Below are 20917 nucleotides of genomic sequence, written 5' to 3' on the forward strand. Positions count from 1 at the left end.
TGGTTACGGAAGCTATCATAATCCAGTGAGAAACAGTGTTGAAACGGACTAGGGTGGTAGTAGTTGGGTTGATGAGAAGTGGTGAGATTCTAGATATATTCTGAAGGTAGGACTATGGTTTGCTGATAGATGTTGGGTATGAGACAAAAATCAGTGAAGGTTTCTGGCCTGAAAACTGGAAGAAATGACTACAGGTTTACCTCGCACACAGCTCCATCATCCGTTAGTTTATTTAAAAAGAAAAAAGAAAAAGCAGGGGTACAGTACGTGTCATGTCACATAATGTGTTCTACTTATACTAAAAGTTACAGTACCTAAAAATTACTATCAAATCAGTTAAAGCCAATAGCTTTTAAGAAATGTATTCTGAATAACAAGAGAATCAAAGAAGGTCTCCATTCTTTTTTTGAGACAGTGTCTCACTCTGTCACCCAGGCTGGAGTGCACTGGCATGATCATGACTCACTGCAACTTCGACCTCTTGGGCTCGGGACATCTCTCCTGCCTCAGCCTCTCAAGTAGCTGGGACTACAGGTGCATATCACCACATGTAGCTCATATATATATACATACACACATATATACACACACATATACACATATATACACACATATATATACACATATATACACACTATATACACATATATATACACATATAAATATACGTGTGTGTGTGTGTGTGTGTGTGTGTGTATAAGACAGGATCTCCTTATGTTGCTCAGGCTGTTCTCAAACTCCTGGGCTGGAGCGATTCTCCCACTCTGGCCTCCCAAAGTGTTGGGATTATAGGCATGAGCCACTTATTCCTGGCTGAAATACTGGCTTTTTAATCACAGTTCTACCCCACAGCTTTCAAGAAAAGTGAAATTAATCCTAGCTATGCCATCTACAGCTTTGTGACTTTGAGCAAGTAGTTTAATCTTTCTAATTGTAATTCCTTATTTGTATAACAGGGATGACATTTATATCATAGAATCATTACACAGATTAACAAGATATCTATGAGGCGCTCAATACAATGCCTGGCACACAATATTCACTGAGTGGCAGAATACACCAAAAAGAGAAAATACGGGAAAATATACATTAGTAATAGGACTGGTGCTATGGTCTGATATTTGTGTTCTCCCAAATTTCATATGTTGAAATCTTAACCCCCAAGGTGGTGTTAAAACATGGGCCTTTGGGAGATTTTTAGGTCATGAGGGCAGAACTCTCATGAAAGGGATTAGTGCCCTTACAAAAGAGGTCTAAAGGAATTTTATCCCCTCTTCCCTCCATGAGATCAGGCAGATCCAGAGAGCAGGCACTGCCTGTGTATCAGGAATCTAGCCCTCACCAGACATAAAAACCTCCCCATGTTTGTGGAGGCTGAATTTCCCAGCCTCCACAAACATGAGAAATAAAGTTTTGTCGTTTTTAAGCTACCTATTTTATGGCATTTTGTTATAGCAGCCTGCACAGACTACAATACTTAGGAAGAGTACTATCCACCCAAGCCAAAAACTTTAAAGAATTCCTGTCAGAAATAGGTAGAATAGAATAAAGAAAGAAGGGCTGGCCAATTACTCCCCTTCCCAAGAAAGGGATGAAAAATCTCAGAAACTACAGAAATGAAGAGGAGATCCTAATGAAATACCATTAATTCTTTCCAATTTTGAAGAACAAGAATATACCAACAGTAGGTTAAGGGAAAAACGTATCCATTTAGAACCATCCATTTAGAAAAACAATCCATTCAGGACCTCTGTAACACTGTCAATCAAAAGCATTCAAGGAGAATGGGCAACCCTGTGCTGAGCGAGTCTGTTGGCAGCTCATTTTTTCAACACCATGTGCTCACTTCATATCTCTGTGTCACATTTTGGTAATTTTCACAATATTTCAAACTTTTTCATTATTATTATACCTGTATAATTATCTGCGATCAGTGATCTTTGATGTTACTACCGTAACTGTTTTGGGGAGCCACAAATTGCACCCATATTAGATGGCAAACCTCACTGTGTTCTTACTCCTCCACCAACCTGCTATTTCCCCCCTCTCTTCCTCTCCTCAGGCCACTGCATTCCAGCCTAAGTGACAAAACACATAGATACACACACACACACACACACACACAGACAGAGAACAAAGCATCCCAGAGTTGTGACATATGTGAAATGTTCTAACATACATGTAATTGAAGTCACAGATGACAGAGAAAGAGTTAGGAAAAAATATGTAGAGACAGTAACTGAAATCATTTTTAAAATAACAAAATACATCAAACCACAGATCTAAGAAACTCAGAAACCCCTAAATAGGGATTTCAAAAACAAGAAAATATCCCTAACACGTACAATGCACTTTAAACTGCTAAAACCAAAAATAAAAAGAAAACCTTAAAGGCAGCCCTAGAAAGACACATTACATGCAGAGGAATAAAGATAAAAACGGAAACAGACTTCTCATCAGAAACTATACTAGCCAAAAGACAATGGAGCAGGCACTGTCTAATTGAGAATTTTTTCTTTCAGTTCTTTTATTATTGTTACTGCATTTATTTCTTTCAGTCCATTTTGAAACATTAGATTATAATTGTCATTTGTTTTGGTCATATTTTTCTGGCTTGCTTTCATTGTTTCTAGGGACAGTATTATGTTTCTTTTTCCGTTGGGAATTCTTTGTTTCTCATTTTTTAGTGAGAAACAAAAATACTTCTTTAAAATACTAAGAGAAAAAACTTTCAACTCAGAATTTTATACTCAACAAAAATATCTTTCAAAATGAAAGCAAATAAACTCATTTTCAAACAAACACAAATTTAAGAGAATTTGCTGCCCACAGACCTGTACTACAAGATATATTAATGTAAATCCTGCAAGCAGAAGGAATATGAAGACAGACAGAAACTAGGATGTACACAAATAAAGAGCTCTAAAAATAGTAATGATGAACATAAATACAAAATACATTTATCTTTCATCACTAAAAAATGAGAAACAAAGGTTCCCAAAGGAAAAAGAAACATAATACTGTCCCTAGAAACAATGAAAGCAAGCCAGAAAAATATGACCAAAACAAACAACAATCATAATCTAATATTTCAAAATGGACTGAAAGAAATACAATAACAATAATTAAAAAACTGAAAGAAAAAATTCTCAATTAGAAAACTTTAGCAAACTTGTTCTGAAGAAAGAATTATTTTAAAAGGGAGGTTAAAAAAATCAAGAAAGAATTAGAATGAAAAAGAAAGGAACACAAGAGTAAATAAGCATAATGAATAATGATTTCAGATGGAAAAAAAAAGATGGTTATTATAGGCATCTGACTTTACAACTCCAACCACAGAACTTTAAATATAACAAAAAACTGAGTATCATTCAAACTACTGCAGGGTGAATATCCATCATCCAAAATGGTTGAGACCAGAAGTGTTTCAGATTCGGATCTGTCTGCATTTTGAAATATTTGCATTTATATTCTTACTGGTTCAGCATCCCTCATCTAAAAATTTAAAATCCAAAATGCCCCAATAAGTATTTTCTTTGCGTGTCATGGTGGCACTCAAAAAGGTTCAGATTTTGGAGCATTTCAAATTTCAGATTTTTGGATTAGGGACACTCAACCTGTATTAGTAGAGATTATTTTGAACTTTTACCTCTTGTCACTGTTTATTAAAATCGTGTTCTTCAAGCAATAAAATGCTGTGAAGAAGACATTTTTATACCAATTGCCAGAAGGACAGATATCATACTGCACAACCTTAAGCTTGCCAAAAGATAATGTATGTCACTTGGGACATTTAAAAAAAAAAAAAACAGTACAGAACAGATCCAGATACAGAAAATTATTTCACATATCTAATATGCATTTATAAGACATATCATCTCAGTTAATCAAGGGTCATATTGCAATCCGGCCCAAGTAACATCGTTAATCAGTGCTCTATTTGTCATTCCCTTTTATATGCATTATTTCCTTCAAAAGCAGCATCCAAACTTATTAAGTGAATTTAATAAGTACTTACAAAGTACTATCTTAGAACTGTCCAACAAACTAATATGTACATAGTTCAATACATGCATATTTTAGTACAAATGCTAACTCCATTATGCTTTCATAAAATGTGTCAACTGTCTTATAGTAGTACTGGTTCCAACTAAAAAAAAAATCAATCTTTCAAAGGTTAAATACTTAAAAATAATAATATTACTGAGATAATCAGAGCCAGGCACAATCTAGAGTCATTTAGAAAAACAAGCAGTAGTTACACCTCACATAAACAGGACTGCAGAAACACTTTCGTGTTTTGATACCAAATGCCAAACACTAGCAAATAACCACCTGATTCTTTGTGATTTTATAATTTATAATGCCTTTTTACATGCATTATATACTCTAAACCTCATAATCTTATAGAATATTACTACATCCCAATTTATACATGAAAAAACAGACTCGAAAACAATAAATTATTTGTCCAAAGTTAAATTTCAAGGTCTTAAATTCCAAGCCCAATGTTCTTTCTATCTTGCTATAATCTCAGAAGAGTAAAAAATAATAAAAATATGCATCATTGTGATTATGAAAATCAAAATCACAGCTATCAGCACATAGAAGACCTTGGAAAAATTATTTTAAATATACTCAAATTTATATACAACTTCAAGAATGAAAGACGCCCAGCAAAAGGGCCATGGAAATGTTTCTTCCTTCTTCACAAAATTTTCAAAACTTGAAATTTCTCTAGCTTCCTCTTTTCCCTTAATTTCTTAATTCTTCCTTTGCTTCCTTCAAAAGCAGCATCCAAATTCAACTGGCCCCAAGTATATTCAGGACTGAAAGAAAAAAAATGAGTAAAAAGGAAAAAAAAATAATAAACCTCAAACTCTTCTTTACACCTATACCGATAACACTAGATCCTCTGAACCAATCTTCACAGGCAGCAGTTAAGTTCCAGTCTATGTCCCATCATCTCACTCTTTCCCAGTTCCATTTGCTCTAATAAAAAGCCTTAAAAAACTTAAATCTCCATTTTTTCAAAAGCAGAGATTAAACTTATTTGGTATTTTGTGAAGTGATTCCTCCCTAATCTGTCTCCATCAAGACCTGTGTTTAACATTGCCTTAAGTCACAGGCTCTATGAATAAGGAGACGAGAGGTAAGGAAGAAAAGAATAGCATAGCGGCAATCATTTTAGACTGTAATTTAACAATAAAATATTTTTTAAATAAGGATTCTAAATAACTATGTGCTAGCTTCAGGGTCAGAAGTTCGAAAAGGATGAGACCACAATGGAGTAGGAAGGAAAGGACACCATGATTAATACAAGTAATAGCCATGAAAAGATAATGCAAGTGAACCAATTTCTGGTATCCATAACAGAAAAGCAAGATTGAATCAGGGAACTACATATGGCCAAGAAGTATCTCTGCTGATTCCTCTTACCCCAATACATTCTTGATCTCTTCCTGGATTTTATTCCATTCACACACTCCCAAGGCTCCTGCCCAAACACAGAATCAGTTCTAATTACCACCAAGGGTTTACAGTTAACAGAAGATTTAATTCGTCTTGTGTAGTTATAAGTTAGGTACAGGTGAAACAATTAGGAGAATCCTCTCATAGTAAACCACAAGTAACAACAGTACCAGGCCTCAAACACAGACACAGATCTTCACTAGTGCTCCACCATTAATGTGACTAATACTTTTCTGCTTCTCAAGACTACCCGCTTACAATATACAGCCCCTTCAGCACCAACACTACACCAAGAACTTTAGGCCAACTCAAGTGTTTCTCATTTTATTTCCAATTCCTAAAACACAAAATATAATTGGCCAAAATATCTTTCAAGCCAATTCCAGTAAGATGTAATTGCTATGCTTTGCTCACATTTCAGAAGAGTACCCAATCACAGGCCAATCAACTGGGGAAGATACCAAGTTCACACAGAAGAAAAACAAATGCCTACACAGGAGGAGCTATAAAAACAGGAATTTCTATTACAGTATAAGAAAATATGAACAGGGTACCATGTGTGATACATTTCATTAGATAGTATCCCCATCCCATTATTCAGGGGTGAAAGAAATCTCCAAAATGCATGGGAGATGTGTTCCTTGTATCCCTACTTTGATTTTTAAGATTAATTTTTTTAAAAAGTTGTTTCAGTAGTTAAGTTTTATTTCACAACTACAGTGCTGAATTTAAAATATAGTACCAATTAAACTAGTCTTCTATTCTTGAAACAAAAACCTAAACACTGTATATTGCATATACCACTACACAAAATGCATTCAAACAGTGAAAATATGGATGACAACTTTCCCTTAACTTCCCTTTGGCTACCAAGAAACATACTTCTGTCTGAAACAAGTTAATTATTAAAAATGAAAACACAACCTTTAAAGAGTAATAAATGAATGGCCAACAAGCTCTTGAAAAGATGGTTAACCTCACTAGTGAAAAGGGGAATGCAAATCAAAACCACAATGAATAACCACTTCACACCCATTAGGTTGGCTATTATCAAAAAGGAAAACAACGTGTTGACAAGATGTGGAGAAATTAGAACCCTTATACATTGCTAGTAGGAAAATAAAGTAATGCAGCTACTATGGAAAACTGTTTGGCAGTTACTCAGAAAGCAAAACACAATTACCATATCACCTAGCAATTACACTGTGAGTAAATGCCCCAGAGACTAGAAACATGTGTTAAAACAAAAACTCATACACAAATGTTCACGGGAACATTATTCATAATAGACAGAAAGTGGAAACAGCCCAAATTGTCCATCAACTGAAATATAAATTATATTAAAATGTTATTTTAAAATAACTTTAAATATTATGTTATTTAATAATATTCCCACATAATGGAATATTACTCAACCATAAAAAAGAATGAAGTGCTGATACATGTCACAACATGGATGAGCCTTAGAAACATGTTAAGTGAAAGACATGGGATACAAAAGACCATATATTATATGATTGCATTTATATGAAGTGTCTGGAATAGGTAAATTCACAGAGACAGAAAGTAAATTAGTGATTGTAAGGGAAGAGGAAAAGGAGAGTGCTTAACGGGTACAGAGTTTCTTTAGGGGCTGATAAAAATGTTCTGAAAATAGACAGTGGTGATGGTTGTGAAACACTGCCAACTGTACTAAAAACACAACTTTAAAACGGCGTATTTCAGGGTTGTGAGAATTTCACCTCATTTTTTTAAACAAAAGGAACAGAGAACTAACACTTTTGACAACAAGGGAGTAGCAGAATGGATCCTACAAATGGAAATACACTATTGCAAAATTTTTATATTGTATATGAAATATTTGAAGGTAGAACACAAAAAGTTTAAAAATCAGTATTGTAAACCTCAGAGCAACCACTTCCCCCCACCAAATACACACAATCATTAATAAGCAAATAGTGGAAATAAAATGGAAATCTTAAAAATATCCAATTAATCCCAAAAGCAAGAAAGGAAGAAAAAAAGAGAAAAGAAATAGAAGAGACAAATAGAAAACAAAGAGCAAACAAGACAGTACACACAAAACCAAGCACATCATAATTATGTTAAAATGTAAACAGTCCAGCTAATCCAACTAAAAGGCAGACTGTTGGCTGGGCGCAGTGGCTCACACCTCTAATCCCAGCACTTTGGGAGGCCGAGGCAGGCGGATCACAAAGTCAGGAGATCAAGACCATCCTGGCCAACATGGTGAAACCCCATCTCTACGAAAAATACAAAAATTAGCTGGGCATGGTGGCATGAGCCTATAATCCCAGCTACTAGGGAGGCTGAGGCAGGAGAATCACTCGAACCCAAGAGGAGGAAGTTGCAGTGAGCCAAGATAACACCACTGCACTCCAGCCTGGCGACAGAGCAAGACTCTGTCTCAAACAACAAAAACAACAAAGGCAGATTGTCATACTAAATAAAAAGGAAGACTGAACTATACTCTGGGTACAAGAAACCCACTTTAAATATTAAAACACGTACATAATAGACATGAAGAATAAAAACATACCATGTAAACACTTATGAAAAGAAAGCTAGGCCAGGTCAGTGGCTCATGCCTGTAATTCCAGCACTATGGGAGCCCAAGGCAGGAGAATCGCTTGAGCCCAGGAGTTTGAGATCAGCCTGAGCACCATGGCGAGACCCTGTCTCTACAAAATAAAATTAAAAAAAAAAAAAATCAACCAGATGTGGTGGCCCATGCCTGTGGTCTCAGCTTCTCAGGAGGCTGAGGTGGGAGGACCACTTGAGCTTGGGAGGTAGAGGCTGCAGTGAGCTGTGATCACGCCACTGCACTCCAGCCTGGGTGACAGAGTGAGACCCTGTCTCAAAGAAGAGAAGAGAAAAAGGAGAGGAGAGAAAGAGGGAGAGGAGAGAAAGAGGGAGAGGGAGAAGAGAGGGAAAGAGGAAGGGAGGGAGGGAGGGAAGGGAGGAAGGAAGCTGAAGAGGCTATATTAACATCAAAGTAGATTTCAGAACAAGGAATATTATCAGGAATAAAGAGTGACATTTCAAAATGATAAGGAGATCAATTCACCAACGCTAAATCTGTGTAAGCTTCAAAATACACGAAGCAAAAGCTGAGAAAACTAAAAGGAGACATAGCCAAATCTAGTTAGCACTGGAGATGATTGAAGAATATGTAACTGACAGTACAAGTATACAGAAAATGAATGGGAGTATACTGAACTTAAATAACACATCAACCAACTTTACTATTTGACATGTATAGAACCTCAGCCTACACATGGCAGAGTACTCATTTTTTTCAAGTGCATATGGACCATTAGCGAAGATAAAGCTTATGGTGGACCATGAAACGAGTCTCTATAAAAAGGACTAATATCATACAAACTATATTAACTGAACAAAGTTGAATTATGTCACAAATCAGACATAGAATGATACCCAGAAAATTCTCATTTAGAAATTAAACAACTGCAGCCATAAAAAAGAATGAAATCATGTCCTTTGTAGCAACACGGATGCAGCTGGAGTCCATTATCCTAAACGGATTAACACAAAAACAGAAAACCAAATACCACATGTTCTCACTTTTAAGTGGGAGCTACACACTGGGTACACACAGACACAAAGATGGGAACAAGAAACACTGAGGATTCCAAAATCGGGGACGGAGGGGGTTAGGAGCTGAAAAACTGCCTGTTGCGTACTATGTCCACTACTTGGGTGACAAGATCACTAGCATCACGCAATATACCCACGTAACAAACCTGTGCATGTACAGGTAAAATAAATTAAACAACATACTTCTGAATAATCCATGTTTCAAATAAGAAATCACAAGGGAAATGAGAAGTATTATGAACTGATTGAAAATTTGAAGATACAGCTAAAGTAGGGATTAGAAAGGGAAATTGATAAGATTAAGTGTTGCTATTGAAAAGAGGGCCAAAAATCAATGATCTAAGCTTTCGTACTAAGAAACCAGAAAAGAAAACATGAAACTCCAAGTTAGCAGAAGAAATTTATAAAGTAAACTGAAAATTAGTGGAATAGAAAATGAACAAACTATATAGAAAATCAATAATATGAAAGTTGATCATTTGAAAAGACTAAAAAAAATTAATAATCCTCTAGCTAAACCATTCAAGGAAAAAAGAAACACAAGAACACAAATTATCAATATCAGGAATGAAAGATGGGACACCATTAACAAATCCAAGACATTAAAAGAATAAGGGGTATATTATTATTATGCCAATAAATTCAGCAACACGGGTGTAATGGAGAAACTCTTAAACTACTAAAGTTCATGAAATATAGAACCTGAGTAGTGTCTATTAAAGAAATTGAATTAGTAATTAAAAACCTTCCCACAAAGGGAAGGAGTGAAATCATACAAAATATATGAAGACCCAAAACTATGGCTTCACCAGTAAGTTCCACCAACCACTTAAGGAAAAACACCAATTTCATACAAACTCTTTCAGAAAATAGAAGGGGAACATTCCATATCGTCTTTTAGAAGCCAGCACTGGCCAGGCACAGTGGTTCATGCCTATAATCCCAGCACTTTGAGAGGTCAAAGCACGGGAAGATCACTTGAGCCCAGGAGCTCAAGACCAGCCAGGGCAACACAGTGAGACTCCTGTCTCTACGCAAAAAAAAAAAAGAGAAAAAGAAAGAAGAAAGAGAAAGAAAGAAAGAGTGAAACCAGCAGGAGGGAGGGAGGGAGGGAAAGAAAAAGTGAAACCAGCAATAATACCTATGTTACGGGTTAAATTGTATTTCCATCCCTCGCAAAAGAAAATCCCTATATTCTAACTCCCAGTATCTCAGAATTTGCATTTGAAAATAAAGCCTTTAAAGAAATAATCAAGGTAAAATACAGTCATATTGGTGGACCCCAATCCAATACAACCAGTATTCTTCTAAGATACAGGCAACATGCAGACTGAGAGGTGACAAAGCTATGACACAACAACAAGTGGCCCAACCTAGGCAAGATGGCAAGACCCTCATCTCTATTAAAAACTTATAAAAATTATCCAGGTGTGGTGACACATGCCTGTAGAGCCAGCTACTAGGAAGATGAGGGAGGAGGATCCCTTGGGCCCAGAAGTTCGAGGATGCAGTAAGCAGTGTGATGGTGCCACTGTACTCCAGCTTGGGCGAGACAGCAAGACCACCTCTTTTGAAAAAAAGAAAGGAAACAGGCCTCAGAAGAAACCGAATCTGCCTACACATTGTTTTGTACTTCTAGTCTCTAGACCTATGAGAAAATAAATTTCTGTTGTTTAAGCCACCTAGTCTGTTGTATTTTGTTACGGCAGCCCAAGCAAACCAATACACTGTGATATGAAAACCAGAAAAAAATTAAAAGAAATTCACAGACCAGTATCACTCACTAATAAAGGTCCAAAAAATCCTTTTAAACAATTACCCAATCAAATAAATCCATTAACGTACGTTCTTTAAATAGGGCATATAAATTTAAAAGATGTAAAAGTATATTCATATACAGATAACATGACTGTTTTCTTACAAATCCTATAGGTTCTACCAAAAAATTATTAGAACTAGTAAGTAAACTTAAAATTTCATAAAATACAAGGTCAACATAAAAAAAGTGTATTTACATACTAGCAACAATTAGAAATCGAAATTAAAAGAACAACATTTAGAACACCATCAAAAACATAAAATACTTAGGGGTAAATTTTAAAAATATGGTGAAAAACCTCAACTGAAAAGCATAAACACTGCTAAGAGAAATTACAGAGGACCTAAATAATTGGAGAAATATACTATGTTCATGATTCAAAAGATAATATTAAGATGTCATCTTCCCAAATGAAATCACAGATTCAAAGTAACCAACATTAAAATCCTACATCCTTTTTTATAGAAATTGGCACGCTAATCCTAAGATTTATGTGGAAATGCAAAGAACATAAATAATCAAAACAACTTTGAAATAAAGGATAAAAATTACACTACCTGATTTCAAGATGTACTATAATAATACCATAATCAAAACAGTGTGGCACTTGTGTAGGGATAAACATATATACACCAACGGGACAGAATAAAAATTGCAGAAATAAACTCATATATATGGTTAATTTTTGAGAAAGGTGCCAAGAAAATTCAATGAACAGAGATGATCTTTTCAACAAATGATGTTATAATATTAATGAAGCCTTCAACCCTTACCAAACACAGTGTATAAAAACTAACTTGAAGTGGATCATAACCATAAGAAAACTATAAATCTTCTAGTAGAAAATATACAAGAGAATGTTTTCTAATTTCATGTTAGATAACTTCTTAGCTAGAACACAAAAATTAAAAATAATAAAAATCAATTTGGACTTAAAACTGAAAACTTTATCGATACATTAGAAAAAAGAAAAAACTTTTGCACTTTAAAAAATTATTAAGAAAATGAAAAGATAAGCAACAGACTAAGAGAAAATACCACAATACACAGGTCTGACAAAAGATGTATGCAGAATACATAAAGAACACTTACAACGCAAGATGACATGCAATTTTAAGGGAAAAAATGGGCCAAAGATCAAAACAGACATTTCACAAAAGATATGCAAATGAAAAATAAGCACATAAAAATATGTTACATAACAATGTGATAAAACTACATATCCACAAAAATGACTAATATTTAAAAGACTGAAAACACTGAGCACTGGCAAGGATGTGAAACAATTAAAAACAAATAAAACAATACAAGAAATAAATACAAACCAAATAAAAGAACTTTTAATTGTTGCTGGTAGAAATGCAAAATGGTGGCCGGGTGTGGTGGCTCACACCTGTAATCCCAGCACTTTGGGAGGCCGAGGCGTGGGGACCATGAGGTCCAGGGATCGAGACCAACCCGGCCAACACAGTGAAACCCCATCTCTACTAAAAATACAAAAAATTAGCTTGGCATGGTGGCGGGCGCCTGTAATCCTAGCTACTCGGGAGGTTAAGGCAGGAGAATTGCTTGAACCCAGGAGGCAGAGGTTGCACCAAGCTGAGATCGTGCCACTGCACTCCAGCTGGGGCGACAGTATGAGACTCCCATCTCAAAAAAAGATAAAAAAGAAATGCAAAATGGTAGAGGCAGTTTTTAAAAAGTTTTGCAGTTTATTTTAAAACTAAACATACACTTGGCAGAGAACTCAGCAATTCACTACTAGATATTTTTACCCTAAAAATGTGAAGACGTGTCTGCACAAAAACCTGAATGCTTACAGAATTTTCTAAATAATAGCCAAAAACTAGAAACAAGTCAAAAATCTTTTAACTAGCAAATATATAAGCAGTTCATGTTATATCCATATAATGGGATAATACTAAGCAATTAAAAGAAAAAAAACAGTACACTCAACATCATCAGTGTATTTCAAAACATTATACCAAACGAAAGAAACCAGACACAAAAGACTACCGACTAAAGGACTCCATTAATATGAAATTCCAGAAAAGGCAAAATGACAGCAATGCAAAGCAGATCACTGGTTGCCAGGTGTTAGGTGTGAAGGTAGACACAGAGTATGAAGTGCTGGCAAAAGTGAACTTTCTGGAAATGTATCATATCTTCATTAGGGTGGTGACTGCACAGGTGTATTCATGTGTCAAAACTCATTCAACTACACACTTATGACCAGTGACTTATTTTATGCAAATTATAACTTAGTAAAGCTAATTTTAAACAAAATCAGCCTCTAAATAAAGGCAAGGAAATGGGTGGTTAACTTGGGTAACCATTTGTAATAGTGGTTAAGAACCTGACCTCTGAGCCAAATTGTCTGAATATAAATACTGGTACCACCATTATTAACCGTGTAACTGAGACAAGTTATATAACCTCTATGGGCCACATTTCCTCATCTACAAAATGGGAACTATAAGAGTATCTACAGCAAACAGTTGTTGTGAAGATTAAACAAGTAACGTAAAACCTTTAAAATAGTGCCTGGCAAATAGCAATTTATATTTGAGCACTTATTATTATGAGTATTTGTCCCAAACTAATTGTCAGTACAACACATTCCATCTTCACTTGAGTGGACTTGGCATTTATGAACGTTTGAGTTTCAAATATCTAAAAGAACCCCCAAAACAGTCGTAATTTTTACAAAGCCTACTTTGTCTCATTATCTCTATTTAGAGCCAAATGCCCATCTGTGAATTAATACTAAAGACAGAGGATTCCAATGCACTAGACACTTGAGCATGGATCATGTGTTCCAATTCTGAATTTGGGGAAAAAATGTACCACCCCAAACCACACAGATTAGGAAAGAAGGATGGATTCCCAATGGTTACACCAGAAATACAATAAACAGAAATCAGATCACCTACTGCATTCTATGTTTCACTTTATATAGAAACAGAGGCAAAATCAGTTCATAAAACTTAATTGTGAAAAATGAAAGGACAACTAACATATTTTAAGTATAAAGAAAAACATGTTACTCTCAGTGAATATATTGTTTGAGAAAGTACCAACCTATCTGAATAGAACTTGGCTCATACACACATAAAGAAAGAGGACAAAGAACAAGTAAGGTGGAGGGCAAAGACAAGTCTGCACAAAAACCTGAATGCTTACAGAATTTTGTCCTACATACAACATCACATATAAAAACAGATCAAGAACTTTAAAAACAATTTAGCAGAGTTTCACTACATTGCCCAGGATGGACTCAAACTCCTGGAGCTGAGACTACAAGCATGCACCATCATGCCCAACTTAAAAAACATTTTATTTGGTATACAGGTTGAATATCCCTAATCTGAAAATCTGAAATCCAAAATCATGCAAAATCAAAAATTTTTTCAGTGCCAACATGACTATCAGAGGAAATGCTCACTGGAGCATTTTGGATTTCAGATTTTTCAGATTAAGGATACTAACCTGGTAAATATAATTTAAATATTCTAAAATTCGAAAACAAAAACCAAAAAAACCCCTAAAATCCAAAACACTTCTGGTCTCAAGCACTTCAGATAGAGGATACTCACCCTGTAATACAAATTTTAACAGGAAAAAGACGATGGGCTAATTCCACCGTCAAAAAAGCCTTTCCTCCCAAGCTGTGGAAGTTTTCTGAGGAAAAGGGTAGCAGGTTAAAATAATTATATAAAATATGAAAAAATCACCATTAAGAAAAAACATACACATACAAGAAGGAAAAGTAAGCAACAAGGTTTAAGGCTACAGTTACTTTAATCAGTAACAGTTCTTAGATGGAACATATCCACCTATGTAATGTTGGCTCATTATCAGAAAAGGTATAAAGATTTGTAAAAGGAAAAGATAACTGCTTATCAACACATTCTTTAGTAATGAACTACTATTGCACAAGTACCTTCTTCTCAATTTATAGACTACAATTCCAAGTTAATAGTCTTCCTATCCTGTTTCATGATCATCTATTTTCTCTACCATTTAATTCACCCATAGAAGTCTCCTGCTACCATTGATGCTGATGCCCCACCATCTGATAGTCCACAGGTCTGACAGTACCAATAGGTCTGATAAAATATGACATCATCTCCTGCAGAGTATGTTTCATCATTGACATCCAAATGGCACATGTATTATAAAGCAAAAGAAGCATCAAGTTTGACTTTTGCAGATTCAAATAAGTTCTTGACAGATATTACTATAATAATATAATAAATGCTGGTTTATTCCAGTAACTGAACATGCTTTTAACAGCTCTTTAAATTATATTTAGTCCTATATTTATAAGCTCACAATGGTCTAAAAAGAAAAGTCACTTAAACTTTCCACTTTCCTATCAGAGGAAATTCAGTCCTATAATTCAGTGACTTTAAAAAAAATTTTACCAGTGTACCCAGTGAGAAATACATTCCACATACATTGCTGCACAAACTGTTACTGTCTTTATTACGACAGATTCTATGATACGTTCTAGTTCACTTTTTTTTTTTTTTTTTTTTTGGAGACAGGGTCTCACTTTGTCGTCCAGGCTGGAGTGCAGTGGTGTGATCATAGCTCCCTGCAGCCTCGACCTCACAGGCTCAAGTGATCCTCCCATCTCAGCTTCTTGAGTAGCTGGGACTACAGGCACAAGCCACCACACAGGCTAATTTTTGTATTTTTTGTAGAGATGGGGTTTCGTCATGTTGCCCAGGATGGTCTCAAACTCCTGGGTTCAAGTAATCCTCCTGCCCTGGCCTACCAAAGGGCTGGGATTACAGGCGTGAACCAAGGTGCCCACCCTCACTTTTTAATAGTCTGAAAAACAGAGCCACGTGTTTTTCAGACTATTAAAAATATCCTGGGATTACAGGTGGTGGCACCCGTCTCTAATCCCCGCTGCTTGAGAGGCTAAGACATGAAGATTGCTTGAGCCCAGGAGTTTGAGACTAGCCTGGGCAACATAGGGAGAGCCCTGTCTCAAAAAAAGGAAAAAAAAAATTGGAAACCAGTTATATTAACAAGAATGGTCAACAGGCTTCATTTTTAGTGCTAAAATGTAATTAATAGGTAATGGCTATATATTGTACTATGCATAGTCCATTAGAGTATTTAACATCTGCCATGGCACTAAGAAAAAGGAATGGTACTAACATCTGTCATGACACTAAGAGAGGCAATGATACCAGGTTATGATATTATAATTACACAGTTAAAAGCCATTCTTCGAATTAAATCATGAGCTCCTTAAGAAGAGAGAATCTTAGTTTAACACAAAATAGGCAGTCACATATTTACTGAATGGTAGATCTATTTAATGTAGATCCTAACTATTTTCTATCAAGCAGATGATTAAAAGTCAACCTTCTCGGCCGGGCGCGGTGGCTCACGCCTGTAATCCCAGCACTTTGGGAGGCAGAGGCGGGCGGATCATGAGGTCAGGAGATCGAGACCATCCTGGCTAACACAGTGAAACCCCGCCTCTACTAAAAATACAAAAAATTAGCCGGGCGGGGTGGCCGGCGCCTGTAGTCCCAGCTACTCGGGAGGCTGAGGCAGGAGAATGGCGTGAACCCGGGAGGCGGAGCTTGCAGTGAGCCGAGATCGCACCACTGCACTCCAGCCTGGGCAGCAGAGCGAGACTCCGTCTCAAAAAAAAAGAAAAAAAGTCAACCTTCTCATAAAGAGCTTACTATCTACATGCAAACGTATACTTCTGCTGCAAGAATGGCTGGGACTTGCAGAGGTAGAAAACTTCATTTGAGATAGCTGGAAAAGCTAATACAAAGGCAGTAGTTATAGAATTGTTTAAAAAAGGAGTCCGTATAAAAAACAGAAGTCATCTTTCAAATACAGACCAGACTCACAGTCTAGTTAAATGAACCGTAAGAAAATTTTGCAAAAAACAAAATAACAAAGACTTCCTCTGAATGTTGAAAATGTATCCAATGTCAAGCTAAATACTACTGTCCTGTATTAGATTCTCCATCAATAAAACACTGTTAAAATTATTCAACTTGATAATACCTTCAATCTTTTGTGTAAAATAAAATATAAAAATGCAACCTAAACCCCTAAAATGTTTATGAATTCTTCAATTAAATATAAACTTACTTTCAAATATAAGTCAGGAGAGGCCAATGTTTATTACTGAAATTAGGTACGTGACTATTTAAATCAACAGTTCTCAAGGAGGGGAGAAGGACAGGTCCCTATCACCAGGGGAGCATATGCAAATTACACCACCCACCCCAGCCTCCAATTCAGGTACGTCTTCTTGGGATGTGGGCAGGTAAGAAAAGGGAGTGGTGAGGGATAAAACATTTATCTCATATGATTATGAAACAGCTGCTTCTCCTCCAATCTGTGCCGTTTAAGAACCACTGGGCTAAATACATGTACTCGAACTTACAGATCTGAAACTCTCTAATTGCACACAAAGAAAACACAAAGTTGAGAACTGGGAAATCTGAGTTCTCATTTTGTCCTTACCTGTCCAACGACAAACAAAATTACTTCTCTGTGCCTCAATGAGAAAATAATTAGTATTGTATTAAAAATAAGTTATATATAACATCACAGAATTGTTCTAAGGATAAAATAAAACGTGAAGCATAAGCATATCTTTAAAATGTCCCATAAATGAATAAGAAATTATCATTATTTGAACTTGGGCTTCGTTTAAATATAAAAGCATAGAATAATTTGAATTGGTTCACAGTTTGACCTTGGGGCATACAAGACAAGACCCACAGCCAAACGGGGGGAAAAAAAAAGAAAAAAAGGATTCCTTGGGCCTTGCCTAATCCATATCATCCTACCCCAAGAGTCTGGACAAAATCAAACCTGGCTTGAGTTTTAAATCAGATTCTCATTAATTAATTCTTCTGAATATTAAACCTCACCAGAAAAAGAAATAATTAACTAATGAGATTCTTAGAAAGTGAAATACTCAGGACCACGGTGGCTCACACCTGTAATCCCTCCCAGCACCTTGGGAGGCCGAGGCGAGCAGATCACCTGAGGTCAGGAGTTCAAGACCTGCCTGGCCAACATGGTGAAACCCCGTCTCCATTAAAAATACAAAAAATTAGGCAGGTGTGGTGGCAGGTGCCTGTAATCCCAGCTACTACTCGGGAGGCTGAGGCTGGAGAATTGCTTGAACCCGGGAGGCGGGGGTGGCAGTGAGCCAAGACGGTGCCACTGCACTCCAGCCTGAGTGACAGAGCAAGACTCCGTCTCAAATACAAATTTTTACTCTTTTAAAAAAAGAGTTCCCAATTCCCTATAGCATAGCCTGCAGTGCACTGAACTTCATATGGTGCCTGGCCGACAGTGAATGTCATACAAGTATCTCTTGAATGACAATGATCGATTCCTTATTCCTCACATCTTTTACTTTATTTTAGTGTACTTACACGGAGGCTAACATGTTTGTGTTCGTTAAGTATACTAAAAATTAAAATGCAAACAGTGGCTAAAAAGACAACTAAATTATGCACACCCCACTTTGTTTTATTAGCTTATTAGCTACTCGCACTATCGACTGTGTAGAAGTGCAAACACTTCTCAGCCCCAACCATAAACTGCTTATTTATAAATAACAATCATATTACAGCCCAAATGTTCAATGAAAAACAGATTAATTCTGATAAAGAATAACGTACAAAAAAGCAGAAAGGTGAATAAAGACATCATTTTTCTGCAGGAACTAGAAACCGTAAGTCTAATCAATAACTTTCCTAACAGTTCCAACTTCTAGCTCTATCTTATTTAATAACACCAACTCAGACCATCTTCAACCCTGATCTGAATCAACTTCCCTCATAATGACTGTGCAAGCAGCCAACTTCCTACATGCCTAATATTTGATCAACAATTTCCTCAAAAAGGAAAGTACGAAACACTACCACTTCTTAAGCAGCTAGCTAACAGCAATTACTTCTCATAATCCTACCAATATCTAAAATCCAATAAAAATTCCAAAACACTCTCAAGCAAGACAATCAACACCACCTTTCACTTCATATGACTAACCTCTCTATCCCAAATGTCATGACTAAATGTTACTCTGTATCATTCAAGATGCCAACTATGACGACAAAATGTCTATACCTAGCATTTCTCAAGTCAGAAGTTCCAGTATACTCTGTTATCCAGTATAGTACAGTTACATCTGACACAGGGATGTTATTTAACAAACGTGGTTCTCTCTTTTCAAGACACTTGGTGGAGAAGTGAAAAATCTGTTAACAGACTTTGACTACAGTCGTCTCAACAGCCGATTCCTAAGTGGCCCATCCTTTGAAATGGAAGAAGATATTTACACATACATACGATAGGTACTTACATTATTATAAAAAGCATGTCTTTATAAGACATCCATGCTTATGTTTACAGCATCATCTACCATACTTCAAATAAATTTTGACCAACTCCACCCCTCTGCATCCGAGGAAGCTTAGTCCTCTCCATTTGCAAATTTCATTCATCTCAACAAGGACTCCTGATTGACTGAGTGTTCAATTCATCAGAGAGGCAAAAATTTTAAGACTCAACCTCTCTGCCAACTTTGTTATCCAAAACCATTTATTTGACCTTCCACCTCTTCCCTCGTCATTCGTTAAACTCCCTTCACTTCCTCCTCAGCAACACTTACCTACCTCTTTATTATCCCCACCCTGCCTCGCTACTCCAACATTCCTTCACCCCACCAACCAGGAGCTCGAATGCCTGCAAACGCTCGATTCCCTCTGCAGACACCACCACAGCACCAGTATCCCAAGCTCTCCAACAAGCCACCCCCACACCAGACCCCCCGCCCCCAAGCCTAAGCGGCAGAAACTCATAATTTAGGGACAAGGAGGGAGTGCTCTTCAAACCCACCATACGAAGTCGTTGCTTTTGTCCTCGTAGGAGTTGATGAGCCCGTTGCAGAGGGGGGCGAGGAGAGGTCGCTTCCTGCTGCCGCTGCCTAGGCTGGAGCTGCTGCCTCCTACGCCGGCGCTGGGCCTGGCCGCGCAGCTGTGCCGGGACAGGCCCGTGGACACCGCCCCGCCGCCGCTACCCGATACGGCGGGCGCCACCAACACAGGCCGCACCGGGCCCCCGAGGCCGCCCGAGCCGGCGGCCTGGGCCACCCCGCCGGACACCAGCGCTGCCGCCGAAACCGCCACGGAAGGCGGCGACGGGGAAGAGGATAAAGACGAGGAGGCGGAAGTCACCGAGGAGGCCGCCGAGGACCCGGGGCTTGTCCCAGCGGAGCCCGACCCGGCCTGGCGGCTACCAGACATCGTGACTCCCTCCCCTCCAGCCGGGCGCTCGGAGGAGAGGGACCGCGACCTCGACCCTCCGCCGCCTCCCCTCCCCTCAGCCTCAGTGCATCCTGAGGACGCCCGCCGAGCCGGAGGTGGGGCTGAGGAACAATAAAGTTGCGTTTTTTTTTAAGGCAGCCACACAACAGCGTCCCACGGGAGGGGGCGGAGGAAACTAAAAAAGCGGAGTAGAAGGCACTACCGCTGTCGAGGCCGCCGCCGCCACCGCGGTCCCTGTAGCAGCCAACCCCGGCGCGCCGTGGCCGGCCGTGCGCGCGCGCGCGAGCGGCGGAAGAGGCGGGCGTGGCGGGGGATACAACTGGGGACGCAGCGGGGCTGCGCTCAGACGCTCAGGGCGCGCCCTCGGGGTCGGGGCTCCCTGGCGAAGGGAGTCTGTCTGTCCCAAGCCGCTTTCGTTCCAGAAAACGTGCCAGAGGGCAGGCCGTCTTAATACAGTGAAAGAATTGAGGAGACTGGAATGAATGGTATAGGTGGTGGGGTGGTTTGAAAGACGGGAACGTAGCGGGCGGAAACTCTCGAAAAGCGACTGCGCAGGCGCGCGCCGGGCGCGGACGCTCACGGGTCACCCAGGGTATCCGCCCCAAGCGGAGAATATCGGCGCAAGCGCGGAGTAGCCGTGTCACGCATGCGT

The 20917-nt window shown here is 38.0% G+C and overlaps 1 protein-coding gene across 26 annotated transcripts in view, besides 2 other annotated features; it reads right to left on the reverse strand.

Annotated features, from left to right (window-relative positions):
• Positions 1-20552, reverse strand: part of COP1 (COP1 E3 ubiquitin ligase) — a 262456-nt gene extending 241904 nt beyond the window's left edge. For all 26 annotated transcript variants that reach the window (XM_047427793.1, XM_047427798.1, NM_001286644.2 and 23 more), the window contains exon 1: positions 19838-20552. In XM_047427793.1, coding sequence (XP_047283749.1) covers positions 19838-20244 — 407 coding nt within the window. In that variant the 5' untranslated portion in view covers positions 20245-20552. The remainder of the gene's footprint in view (positions 1-19837) is intronic.
• Positions 19990-20349: a silencer, noted in NCBI's record as "silent region_1569". NCBI's record gives its function as "represses an Ori minimal core promoter by ATAC-STARR-seq in GM12878 lymphoblastoid cells {active_cell/tissue: GM12878}" and the evidence as "EXISTENCE:reporter gene assay evidence [ECO:0000049][PMID:35858748]".
• Positions 20380-20589: a silencer, noted in NCBI's record as "silent region_1570". NCBI's record gives its function as "represses an Ori minimal core promoter by ATAC-STARR-seq in GM12878 lymphoblastoid cells {active_cell/tissue: GM12878}" and the evidence as "EXISTENCE:reporter gene assay evidence [ECO:0000049][PMID:35858748]".

Source organism: Homo sapiens, chromosome 1, assembly GCF_000001405.40.
Source record: "Homo sapiens chromosome 1, GRCh38.p14 Primary Assembly".
NCBI classification, from domain to species: domain Eukaryota; kingdom Metazoa; phylum Chordata; class Mammalia; order Primates; family Hominidae; genus Homo; species Homo sapiens.